The sequence below is a fragment of the Homo sapiens genome, chromosome 7, assembly GCF_000001405.40.
Source record: "Homo sapiens chromosome 7, GRCh38.p14 Primary Assembly".
In the NCBI taxonomy this organism is placed as follows: domain Eukaryota; kingdom Metazoa; phylum Chordata; class Mammalia; order Primates; family Hominidae; genus Homo; species Homo sapiens.
In genome coordinates this window covers 50,014,426-50,027,155 of record NC_000007.14, presented here as the reverse complement: position 1 = coordinate 50,027,155, position 12,730 = coordinate 50,014,426, and the positions used below count along the sequence as shown (strand labels likewise).

Sequence of the window (12,730 nt, the reverse complement as noted above, 5' to 3'; positions counted from 1 at the left end):
CCAAAGGGAAGGGTCCATATTAACAATAGGGTCTTACATATTCAGCTTGTTTTGGGTAAAGCTATACATATTTATGAGGGGGGGTTGAGCACATGTTCAATGGGTAGACATGTATGTAACTTAACGTTCCGTGTTCACTTTGGGGTGGGGTTTTAGCATTAAAATGAGGTAGAATTTGGCTCTGTCTATTGAAAGGTTGACTATAAAACACAAAGAATTTGTGTGCAGTCTCTATTAGCTTGCTGAAACTGGCTTAAGGTCTGCAGTTGCCTTTCAGGAAGGAGTATTTGTAAGGCAGATTCTCTATCCAGTCAGAATTTTAGTGGTCTGGGTTGTAAATCAGAGTTAGGAAGGGAGTCTGGCAATTTGTCTAATAGCTCTTGTTGTTAAAGAGTTTAGCAAGGTGTGTGTGTGTGGTTTTTTTGTTTGTTTGTTTGTTTTTTGTAGCCATAGAAATTTAGGGAATTGACATGCCAGCTGAGCCCTGAACCTTTAGCTCATAGCTAATTTTTGTTTTCTTAACCTTGGGGTCCATCTTAGTTGATAAAGGGGCATCTATTTTTGTTTCTCAGATTATGGAAGCTGCTTTATATCATTTTCATCTTCTTATACTTACTGAGACTCTTTTGTGGTTACACATATGGTCTTCCTGGAGGAATGTTTCATGTGTACTTGTGAAGTATGTGTATTCTCCTGTTGTTGGGTGGAGGGTCCTGTGTATATTGTATAGATCTAGTGTTGTTCAAGTGCTCTATCTGCTTATTGATCTTCTGCCTTTTATATTCAATATTGAAGGTGCAGTATTGATGTCTTCCACTATTATTATCTGCTTTTCCCTTCAGTTCTGTCAGTTTTTTCTTCATATAATTTGGGACTCTGTTGTTAGAGGCCTATATAGTTATAAATGTTATATCTTCTTTAATAGATTGGCCCTTTTATCAAAATATAATGCATTTCTTTGCATCTTGTAACAATTTTTGACTTAAAGTTTATTTTCTCTGATGTTTGTGTAGAGATCTGTTTATATTTTTGTTTCTTCTTGAGTTAGTTTTGGTAGAGTAGTGTGTTTCCAGCAATTTGTCCATTTTGTCTAGATTTGATGACTATTTGCACAAAATATCTTTTTTCATCCCTTTACTTTTAACCTATTTTTCTGTTTTTGCACCTAAGGTGAATCTCTTGCAGACAATAGTTAGATCCTGCATTTTTATCCATTATGTCCACTTCTGCCTTTTAATTGGTGCCTTTAAATTAAACCACTTATATTTGAAATTATTACTGATAAGGGAGGACTTACTTTTGCCTTTTTGCTGCACATTTTCTATGTTGTGTGGGTTTTTTTTACATTGACTATTTTTAGAGCAGTTTTTACAATTTTTACAGAAAAATTGAGCAAAGTATAGACACACACATTTTTACATGCAAATTTGTATGTAAAAAGTCATTAACAAACCCAAGGTCACTTTAATTTTCTTTGTTTCCAGCTTTCCAGTTTTGTGTATTTTACAAAGATGTCTGTGATTATATTATGAAGTTAATTTTGGTGAAAGGTATAAGTCTAGATTTATTTGCATGTGGATATCCAGTTGGTCAAGCATCATTTTTTAAATGACTATATTTTCTCCCTTGAATTGCCGTTTTTTTCCTTTGTGAATGATCAGTTGAATATATTAACATGGGTATATTTCTGGGATTTCTGTTCACTTACATTGGTCTCTTTGTCTGTTCTTTCATCAGTACTATACTATCTTGAATTCTGTAGTTTTATAGTAAGTCCTGAAGTTGGGTAATGTTGGTCCTCTGTATTTCTTGCCTTTAATAATGTGTTGGCTCTTCTAGGTCTTTTGCCTTTTCACATAAATTTTAGAATCAGTTTGTAGATAAACACAAAATATTTTACTGATATTTTGAGTGTCACTGAGTTTAAAGTATATATCAAATTGGCAAGAACTGACATTGTAACAATAGTGGATCTTCCTATCTATGAACATGGAATATCTTTTTATTTACTTAGATCTTTGATTTTTTTAATCAGAGTTTTACAGTTTTCCTCATACAGATATTGCACATATTTTGTTATATATTTCATTTTTGTTAGTGTAATGGCATTTCATTGTTTTCAAATTACAGTTGTTTATTACAAGTACATAGGAAAGCAATTGACTTTTTAAAACAATTTTTAACTATAAATTTAAGTTATACAACATGTTTATACACATATATGTATATATTAAAATAACTATTGCAAGTCAAGCAAACTAACATATCTATTATCTCACATCATTATCTTTCTTTTCCCCTCCACCCCATGGTAAGAGCATGACTCATGGTAAAATGACTCTTCTTGCAAGTTTTTAGCATATAATACCGTATTATTAACTAGAGTCCTCGTGTGGTACATCAGAACATCAGATCTCTAGATTTATTCATCCTTCTTAACTACAACTTTGTACACTTTGATTCACATCTCCTTATTACTCCCACCCCTGCCCTGCCCCTGGGTAACCACCATTCTACTTCCTGCTTTTATGTATTCAATGTTTTTTTTCTTAAAGTGAGATCATTCTGTATTTTTCTTTCTGAGCCTATAGTATTTCACTTAACATATGTCTTCAGGTTCATCTGTATTGTGGCAAATGGCAGAATCTCCTTTTTTAAGGCTGAATAATATTCCTCTGTGTGTGTGTGTGTATAATGCATTATTTATATATTTATTTATATCTATCCAGTCATCCATGATTGAACACTTAGGTTATTTCCATATCTTGGCTGTTATGAATAATGCTGCAGTGAACATGGGAGCATAGATAAATGTATGAGGTTGTGGTTTCATTTCTTTTGGATATGTACCCAGAAGAGGGATTGCTTGGTCAAATGGTAGTTCTATTTTTAATTTCTTTAGTAACCTCTATACTGTTTTCTACAATTGTTGTACCAACATACATTCCTACTAACAGCGTACAAGGGTTCCAGTTTCTCCACACCGTCACCACTACATTATCTATCATCTTTTTGACAACAGCCATCCTGCAGGCATGAGATGATATCCCATTGTGGTTTTCATTTGCATTTCCCTGATTATTGGTGATGTTAAGCACTTTTTCCTTTTTTTCTTCTCCTTCTGGCATTACCATTTTGTATATTATACAACTTATGCTATTATTCCACAGTTCTTGGATATTCTTTTCTTGTTTTTTTAATTCTTCTTTTGAGAAATTTCTACTGATGTATTTTCAAGCTTCAATCTATTTAATTCTTTCCCCCAGCCCCACTGATGGGCTCATCAAAGGCATTCTTCATTTTGGTTAAAGTGATTTTGATACCTAGCATTTCCTTGTGATTCTTAGAGTTTCCATTTCTCTCACTGCATTATCCATTCTGTTCTTGCATCTTGTCCCATTTTTTCCATTAGAACTCTTAGCATGTTATTCATAGTTATTTTACATTTCTGTACCATAATTCCCAAATCTCTGCCGTATCTGAGTTTGGTTTTGATGGTTGCTCTGTTTCTTGAAACTGTGTTTAATTGACTTTTAGTATGTTTTCCATTTTTGTGTGTGTGTATGTGTGTGGAAAGCTGAACATTATGCACTAGGTAGTAAAAAATTAGTTAAATAGTTCTTTTAGTGTGTGATATTTCTGTTTATCTGTCTGGGATTTGGGCTTTGTTTACTGTTTATCGTAGTACTAGAGGCTACATTTTTTTTTATCGTCTTGTTATTGTCTTTCCTATGGTCTTTGAGTGATATGGAGACTTTTTCTTGAATAAGACTTGAAATGCTTTCCATAATAACACCATGGCATTATACGGAACACTGTAAATATAGTGGTAATGTATGCATGTATGGGGGGTAAGCATCCTGTAAGTCTGTGATTTGCTCTCAGTTTTTTCAGAGAGCCTGAGTCCTTCGCCTGAGACCTTCACAAGTGCTTCTCTTTCTCAATTTACACTGAGAGGGCTAGAGGGGGTTTGAATTTGGTATTTCCCTTCCGCCAGGTCATTGAGACTCTGGTAAAAATGAAACTTTGTTAAGGTATTTCTCTTGAGGCGGGGTTTCCAAAATACTAGCTGTACTTCAGATGCTCCTGTTGTACTTTGGTTTGGTTTACTTCTAAGTGGTTACTTTTCTCCTTCCATTTGCTAGAAGCACAAGATTTTCCTCCAGTCTTAACCCTGAGAACTTGTGGGGTTTCCTAGACATAAAGCTCAGGGAAGTTTGGAAGCCCTCCCCTACTGCCCAAGAATACTCCTCATTGCAGTTTTAACTGTGGAGCTTGTCCACTCTGAACTTCTTAGCAGTCCCTCAATTATAATTTAAATTATCCTGGTAATGGCTCCAGTAGCAGGCTTCTGCTCCTGGTAAGTTGTGATTCTCTGTATACACCTATCTGCCTCTACATTTTTGGAAGCTGCAGTTTTCCCAGTGACCTCAATTTTCTGATGGGTCTAAGAAAAGTTGCGGATTTTTTTGTTGTTGATACAGGCCTGACAACTGACAAGTTCCGTAGATGTCAAATAGAAACCAGAAGATGTCTCATATCTTTTTTGTTTGATTGTCCCTGTTACTACCTTCTTTTGTGTTTCATTATTTATAGAATACCGTTTAAATTTCCTTCTCATTTCATTTTATTAATATATTTTAGTTGTTTTCTTGGTGGCTAACCTGAGAACTATAATTAGAATTTCAAACTTGTAAGAAACTAGTTTGAATTGATTCCAGCTTAGTTATAATAGTATTCCAAAACTCTGCTCCTGTGAAGGTCACTCCTTCTCTATGCTATTGTCCCTAATTACATTACTATATATTGTGTATCCACTAACATAGATTGTAATTATTGTTTTATTCATTTGTCATTATTATCATATAAAAAAGATGAGTGAAAAAAGAATACTGACTGTTATATTTATCTATATTTACGTTTTATATTTACCTAGATGTACTCCTGTGTAGTTACTTTTGCCAGTATTCTTTTTTTGTTTGTAGTAACAAGTTACTATCTATTCTTCATCAGCTGTTGATTTTTGGAAGATCGTAGATTCTCCTTCATTTTTGACAGCTTGTTTTGCCAGATACAGGATTCTTGGTTGAAGTGTTTTTATTTCAGTTCTTTAAATATATCATCCCACTGCCTTCTATCCTCTGTGGTTTTTCATGAAAAATCTGATGTTCGTCTTATTGTGGACACCTAGTATGTGACAAATTACTTCTTTCTTGCTGCTTTTAAGACTCTCTGTCTTTGATTTTTTAAAAAATGGTTGCCCATTTATTATAAATGATATTACAGAAGATACAGATGTACTGCCAGATGGAAAAGATGCACAGGGCAAGGCATGTGGGAAGGGGCCTGGAGCTTACATGCCCACTTTGGGCACACCACCACCCAGTATCTCTGCATGTTCAGCAACCTAGAAGCTTCTGTCTTTGATTTTTGAAAATTTCATTATAATTTGTCTCAGTGTGGGATTCCTTGTATTTACCCTATGTGGATTCTATTTATCTTGTATGTGTTTTATCAAATTTGGGAAATTTTGGCCATTATTTCTTCAAATACTCTTTTTGCCACTTTCTCATTTTTCTCTCCTTCTGTGTCTCCCATCATGTATATGGTGGTACACTTGATGTTGTTACACAGATGTCTTAGGTTCTCTTCACTTAAAATTTTTTTTTTCTTCTCTGACTGGATAATTTCAGTGAACTGTCTTCAAGTTCACTAATTCTTTCTTTTGCTTGCTCAAATCTGTTGTTGAAAATGTTTAGTGAATTCCTCATTTCAGTTGTTAACAATTTTCTGCTCCATAATTTTTATTAGATTTTGTCCTGTAACTTATTTTGCTTTATTGATAATCTCTATTTGTGAAGGCATCATTTTCCCTATTTAGTTCTTTGTTCATGGTTTTCTTTAGTTCTTTGAGCATATTTAAGATAGCTGATTTAGAGTTTTTATACAGCAAGTCCAATGTCTGTGTTTCCTCAGGGACAGTTTCTATTATATTTTGTTCTCTGTGAATGGGCCATACATTCTTGTTTCTTTATATAACTACTATTTTTTTTGAAAACTTTGCATTTTAAAATATTGTAATGGATACTTTTGAAATCAGATCCTTCTGCCTCTTCAGTGTGTATGTTTCTTGCTTGTATGAGTTGTAGTTGTTTGTTTCATAATTTTCTGCATCTTTTGTCATGTCCTCTGAGGTCTGTCTTCCATTTACCTGAACTTTTGTTACATACACATATTTAACCTTTGAATTCTCTTTGACCTTTGTGGTTAGCTACTGACTTGACAGAGATTTTCTTATATTCTGTGTTGAAGTTATCTTTTGTTGATTTAGCATTCACTTGGTTGTTGTAAACATTTGATCATTTTCTGGAGTTCTGACAAAAGTTGATTCTGACCATTTTTCTTCATTTTTTTCCATGTTTCTATGGAAAAAGGTGGCCAGCAGTTTTCTTCTTTACTATTTTTGCTGGCATCATTCCTATCTTCTTTATTTTTTAATCTTGTAGAAAACTTATCTTACAAAAAGCTAGGTGATTGTATACAGGATGAGGTTAGTCAACTAGCCTAAATAAAGAGGGGATGTGCGAGAAGCTTAGGAGGAGATAGCTGATGCAGAAAACATGAGTGTCATGTGGTTTGCCTGATATGGTGGGGATGGATATAATGTCTGTTGCCTGTTGACACCATTAATACTGGACTTGGGCTGAAACAGTCTCCTAGATATTTGTTACTTTAGCAATCTTTTGTGTATACTGATTCTGAAAAGATAGATAAGAAAAGACCTTATATTTCTTTTGATTCTATTTTGTGGTTTCTGACAGTTTTGCATTAGTTTCATGAATAGTAGATCTTAATGAATGTTAAAAATTGCCTTAAACTTGTATAAAGATTCAAAAGTAAGAAAATTTTACATTATCGTGATGATTCAATCTCATAATCATTTTATGATGCATTGGTAGACTCAGGTCTGCCACCTTCTGAATTACTTTGTGGACAGTCCATTCAAAAGCTGTACCTTAGGTTATTAATACTTAAAAGACCTGGCTACAGTTTGCTAGTGCTTTTCATAACTCTACGTATATTTCTTTTCTTTCTTTTTTTTTTTTTTGAGACAGAGTCTCACTCTGTTGCCGAGGCTGGAGTGCAGTGGCGTGATCTCAGCTTACTGCAACCTCCACCTTCCAGGTTCAAGCGATAAAATTTAGAGATTTAACTTTTCTTGGGCCTAGATTTAGATAATCTCATTTTTTAAAAGGACTTAAGGTAAAAATAGAATATAAATAAAACCTTTTCTCCCCCAAGTCTGTGACCCTAGTTGGACCTCTGTCTGAAATTAACTGATCTAATTTTATAAAATCACTAGGTTGGATTTTGTTGTCTTGTCTATAATATTGTATAGTACCTCATAATATCAACTCAGATGGCAAGAGTGAAGTTTCACACCATGTATGGGTTTGGGAAGGTATGAAAGAAATATGTTTAAACAACAAAATAAAGATTTCCCATTATTCTGGGAATATACTCTGCATATATTCATACTTTTATGATCAATTTTATGATCTTCATATCAACAGTTGTCCATCAGACATATTTTACATGACATACTAGGTAAATGTTGGTAAAGGAGAGTAAGGATCCCTCTTCAAGATTATATTATAGTAAAAAGAAAATATTCATATAATAATAGTACAACTTATGTAAATACTGTAGAAGAGTTACCAAGTGTTTTATGGGTTCTAAGGAAGTGAAGATGTTATTAAGGAGATGAACACTTAAGGAGGCCCATGAAAAATTATTGGTGTTTTGGAAGAATTTTATGGAAAATGAACAACTTAAAGTCATGTACACAGGCATCATAGAGCAATATTTGGAGTAGAATAGCGAATGGATAGCATCCAAGTAGAGTTATGGGAAAAACAAAATTGTCAAGATTGGTAGATAAATTATAGAGATTTTCATTGCTGGGGTAAAGTATTTGTTTTTAAATATATCCTCATAACTGGAAAGGGTGACAAAAATCACATTATTCAGCCCCTTGTTTTACAAATTGGAGTAGAGGCCTCAAATGTTATTTTACATTATACCTGTGTTTATTAGTAGACCTCCTATAGAACTCAGGCTAGAAATCAGATTTCTTTCCATGTATTTTTTAAGTCTTGTAGTACAATAGGAACATTTCTCAGATGATCTTGCAGAGACAGTACTCATTTCTACATTGCTAAATTCAATGGGATTTTGTTGATTTTGTTCACTTATGTATCCCAAGCACCTAGAGTAATTCCTGGCACACAGTAGGCTCCTGGCAATTATTTATTAAATAAATGAATGTATGTCTGAATGTAAATATTCATCATTTTAGTTACCATGGCCCCTACTAAAATCCAACCTCATTTCCCTTTCCAGTATTGTGATCAGAGTTTGTCCTACCTCTATCATTTTGCAGCTAGAGATTAAGAATTGAGTTAAATGACACACAGTATATTATATAGAGTTAAATACAGTATTGAATGAATGCACATAAATGTATACATACATATACATATGTATGTTATTAAAATTGAAACAAATCTGTTGCTCAGATTTTACAAAATCAACAGCCAAACATTATCAGGAAAGTTGATTAATTCTTAAGTTCACTGAAGAAATAAGGTTGTCTTGATTTATAGAAAGCAAATTGTTGACTTAGGTTTTTTGCTGAAGAGTCATTTAGCACTAGGAAAATTGCTTAATATTTTAATGGAAGAGAAATGTTAGAATATCCTTTCATTTTTCAAAATCCAATTTAAATATTGTGACAGAATACATTATACCCATGATAAAATATAATATATTTTCTCAGTTTCATCTCTAGACACTGAAAAAGGACCCAAGCGATGTACAGACCATAACTGTGAACCTTACAAAAGACTTTTTAAGGTATGTTATGTGAGGCTGGTAAAAGGAAAAAAAAAGTTAAATGAACATGCCCCATGTGTAAGTAAGCATCCTAGCTATTTATAAAATACGTTGAATCCCCACAGTTAAGGATTTCAACAATAAAAATAAAACTTTACCCACTAATAAAAGATAAGACATTAATAGAATGTATCTTTATAAAATACTTTCAAATTTAGCCTTTTGTAATTGGTTATATGAAGAAGAATGGTTTTTCTATTTGTTTTGCCTTATTTGCTATTGCTAATTAATTTATAGTTATTATTCAGATAGAATATTGTCCATGTTACCATTGTCCATCATAAATAACAAGCAAATTTGAACCATCTTTTAATCTATTTTCATATTGCTTTGCTCCATACCCGGCATCCTGTACCTATGCTTAGGGTGAAAATGATGCTATATCTTCTAGAAGGAATTTAAATTAGTTGTTTTTTACATTATACTTAACATATTGTTCATGTTCAATGAATTTATGACAATATCTTCCTATGCCTAATTATAATTTACTGACCATAAACACATTGTAAACAGTAATATTTTTAAATGTTTGACATATATAATTATTTACATTATAATGGTTGTAAAGTGTTTCTACTAAAGGTATAAGTATTGTATACAGAGATCAATATCCATTATTTTTGCCTAGTGAAATTGACAAGGGGATTCTTTCTTAATTTGTACTCAGTAAGCCTCCTGAAATATAGTTTAAGTCAGGCATCCCCAACTCCTTGGCCACAGACTGGTACCAATCCATGGCCTGTTAGGAACCAGGCCATACAGCAGGAGGTGAGTGGCAGGCTAGAGTGAAGCTTCACTGTGTTTATAGTCCCCCATCCCCATCGCTTGTATTACCACCTGAGATCTGCCTTCTCCTGTCAGATCAGATCAAGCGCAGCATTAGATTCTTATGGGAGTGCAAATGCTATTGTGAACTGTGCATGTGAGGGATCTAGATTGTGTATTCCTTATGAGAATCTAATGCCTGATGATCTGTCACTGTCTCCTGTCAACCCCAGATGGGACCTTCTAGTTGCAGGAAGACAAGCTCAGAGCTTTCACTGATTTTACATTATGGTGAGTTGTATAATTATTTCATGATTTATTACAATGTAATAATAATATAAATAAAGTGCACAATAAATGTAATGCCCTTGAGTCACCCTCGAACCATCCCCCACCCTCCCAGTCTGTGGAAAAATTGTCTTTCATGAAACCAGTCCCTGCTGCCAAAAAGGCTGGGAACTGCTGGTCTAAGTCATTAATTCACATATTATCTCATATCTTCATTTAAAAAATTTTCTTAAGCATTACCTCTCTTCCTTGGGATAGGTTTTCTTCTTTTTAACTCTTGAAATAAGATTTAGGATTTGAGGCACCATGAAGAGAGCACTTAATCTTAATTTTCTTCTCTCAGTTTTTAATATGTGAGTACTGTGATAAACATTAGTCAGTTATTACCTAAAACATCTTTTACCCTCTACCAGTCTTAAACAGTCACAGACCCTGAGCTAGGATAATTTATTTGGAAATGGGGTTGGAATGTGTGTTAAAGCATAGGGATTAGGAGTAGGGGAAGGAATCTGACCCATTTTATTATTTTCCCTGATGGTGGGCTCAAGGTGATAATTGTTTGAGCTTTCTTATGTCATTTTTATTTATTCTTTTTTCTTTTACATTCAGGGGGTACATGTGCAGGTTTGTTACATGGGTAAATTCCACATCGTTGGGGTTTGGTGTACAAATAATTTTGCCACCCAGATAGTGAGCATAGTACCTGATAGGTTGTTTTTCAACCCTCACCTTCCACCCTCAAGTAAGCTCTGGTGTCTGTTGTTCCTCTCTGTGTCCATGTGTGCTCAATGTTTAGCTCCCACTTATAAGTGACAACATGTGGTATTTGGCTTTCTGTTTCTGCATTAATTTGTTGAGGATAATGGCCTCCAGCTGCATTCATGTTGCTGCAAAGGACATAATTTAGTTCTTTTTTATGGCTGCATAGTATTCCATGGTGTATAGGTACCACATTTTCTTTATCCTGTCTACCATTGGTGGGCATCTAGGTTGATTCCATGTCTTTGCTATTGTAAATAGTGGCAGTGAACATATACATCCATGTGTCTTTATAGCAGAATGATTTATATTCCTTTGGGTATGTGCCCAGTAATGGGATTGTTGGGTCAAATTGTAGTTCTGTTTTAATTTCTTTGTGAAATTTCCGAACTGCTTCCCACAGTGGCTAAACTAATTTACATTCCCACCAGCAGTATAGAAGTGTTCTCTTTTCTCTATAACCTTACCAACATCAGTTATTTTCTGACTTTTTAATAATAGCCATTCTTACTGGTATGAGATGCTATCTCATTGCGGTTTTGATTTGTTTTTCTCTCATGATTAGTGATGTGGAGCATTTTTTCATATGCTTTTTCATATGCTTGCTGGCTCCCTATATGTCTTCTTTTGAGAAGTGTCTGTTCATGTCCTTTGCCCTTTTGTTAATGGGGTTGTTTGTATTTTGCTTGTTAAGTACTTCATAGATTCTGGATATTAGACCTTTGTTGGATACATAGTTTGCAAAAATTTTCTCCCATTCTGTAGGTTTTCTGTTTACTGTGTTGATAGTTTCTTTTGCTGTGCAGAAGCTCTTTAGTTTAATTAGGTCCCATTTGTCTATTTTTGGTTTTGTTGCAATTGCATTTGGAGACTTCATCATGAAATCTTTGCCAAGGCCTATGTTCAGAGTGGTATGTCCTAAGCTTTCTGCTAGGGTTTTTAATAGTTTAAATCTTTAATCCATCGTGAGTTGATTTTTATATATGGTGAAATGAAGGGATGAAATTTCAATCTTTTCTACTGAAAGGCAATTTTATCACTATGCTTTATATAGAAACACAAAATAATTTTTAAAGCTTCCAAACAATGAAGCTTTGAGTACAAGAGGTCTGTAGTTTCATTAAGTTAATTTGTTCCTTTTCCTCCCCCAAATATCTGCTGTCTGACTTTTCCTGTCCCATGGAAACTTTTTTTTTTAATGCAATATGTTTATCTTTCTTTCTTCTTCAGCACAGAAGTTTCTTATTTGGTTTGCTACAGCAAAATAAAGAACAGCTGGGACTTTTCTGTCTTGATGATAGTATAAGAACAGTATATTGGCATATGTAAAAAGAATTCAGAATTTGCAGGCAATGGTATTTTCACAAAAGCACCTTCATTTAAAAATCTGAAAAATTATTTGATGTATTTGTCTCATTGTTGGTCTCATTTGCCTTTCAACTTTAGTACCTTTTCATCTTGTGTTAGCATCTTATATATTATTAAATACAATCTTTTGATTTTAGGAAGATTTAAGTAACTGAAATTGTCTCCAGACTACAGTAAGGCCAAATTTACTTTGGCATACTTGTCCCAGTGATGTTGTATCTAGCTTTTGAAGATTTGTTTTAAATATGTTGTATTAGGCTGGGAGTGGTGGCTCAAGCCTGTAATATCAGCACTTTGGGAGGCTGAGGCGAGTGGATTACTTGAGGTCAGGAGTTCGAGACCAGCCTGCCCAACATGGAGAAACCCCATCTCTACTAAAAATAAAAAAAATAGCCGGGCGTGGTGGTAGGTGCCTGTAATCCCAGCTACTCAGGAGGCTGAGGCAGGAGAATCACTTGAACCCGGGAGGTGAAGGTTGCAGTGAGCCAAGATCACACCACTGCACTCCAGTCTGGGCAACAAGAGTGAAACTTCGTCTCAAAAAAAAAAAAAAAAGAAAAAGAAAGAATAAATAAAAAATGATAAATAAATATAT

At 34.1% G+C, this 12,730-nt stretch overlaps 1 protein-coding gene across 11 annotated transcripts in view; it reads left to right on the top strand.

Moving 5' to 3' along the window:
• The window catches only part of ZPBP (zona pellucida binding protein), a 252,593-nt gene that overhangs the window by 66,091 nt on the left and 173,772 nt on the right, over positions 1-12,730 (top strand). For all 11 annotated transcript variants that reach the window (XR_001744543.2, XM_011515097.2, XM_011515100.3 and 8 more), the window contains one exon: positions 8,840-8,916. Coding sequence is in view for 10 of the 11 variants with exons in the window: in XM_011515097.2 (XP_011513399.1) it covers positions 8,840-8,916 (77 nt within the window). In the remaining variant the exon portion in view is untranslated. The remainder of the gene's footprint in view (positions 1-8,839; positions 8,917-12,730) is intronic.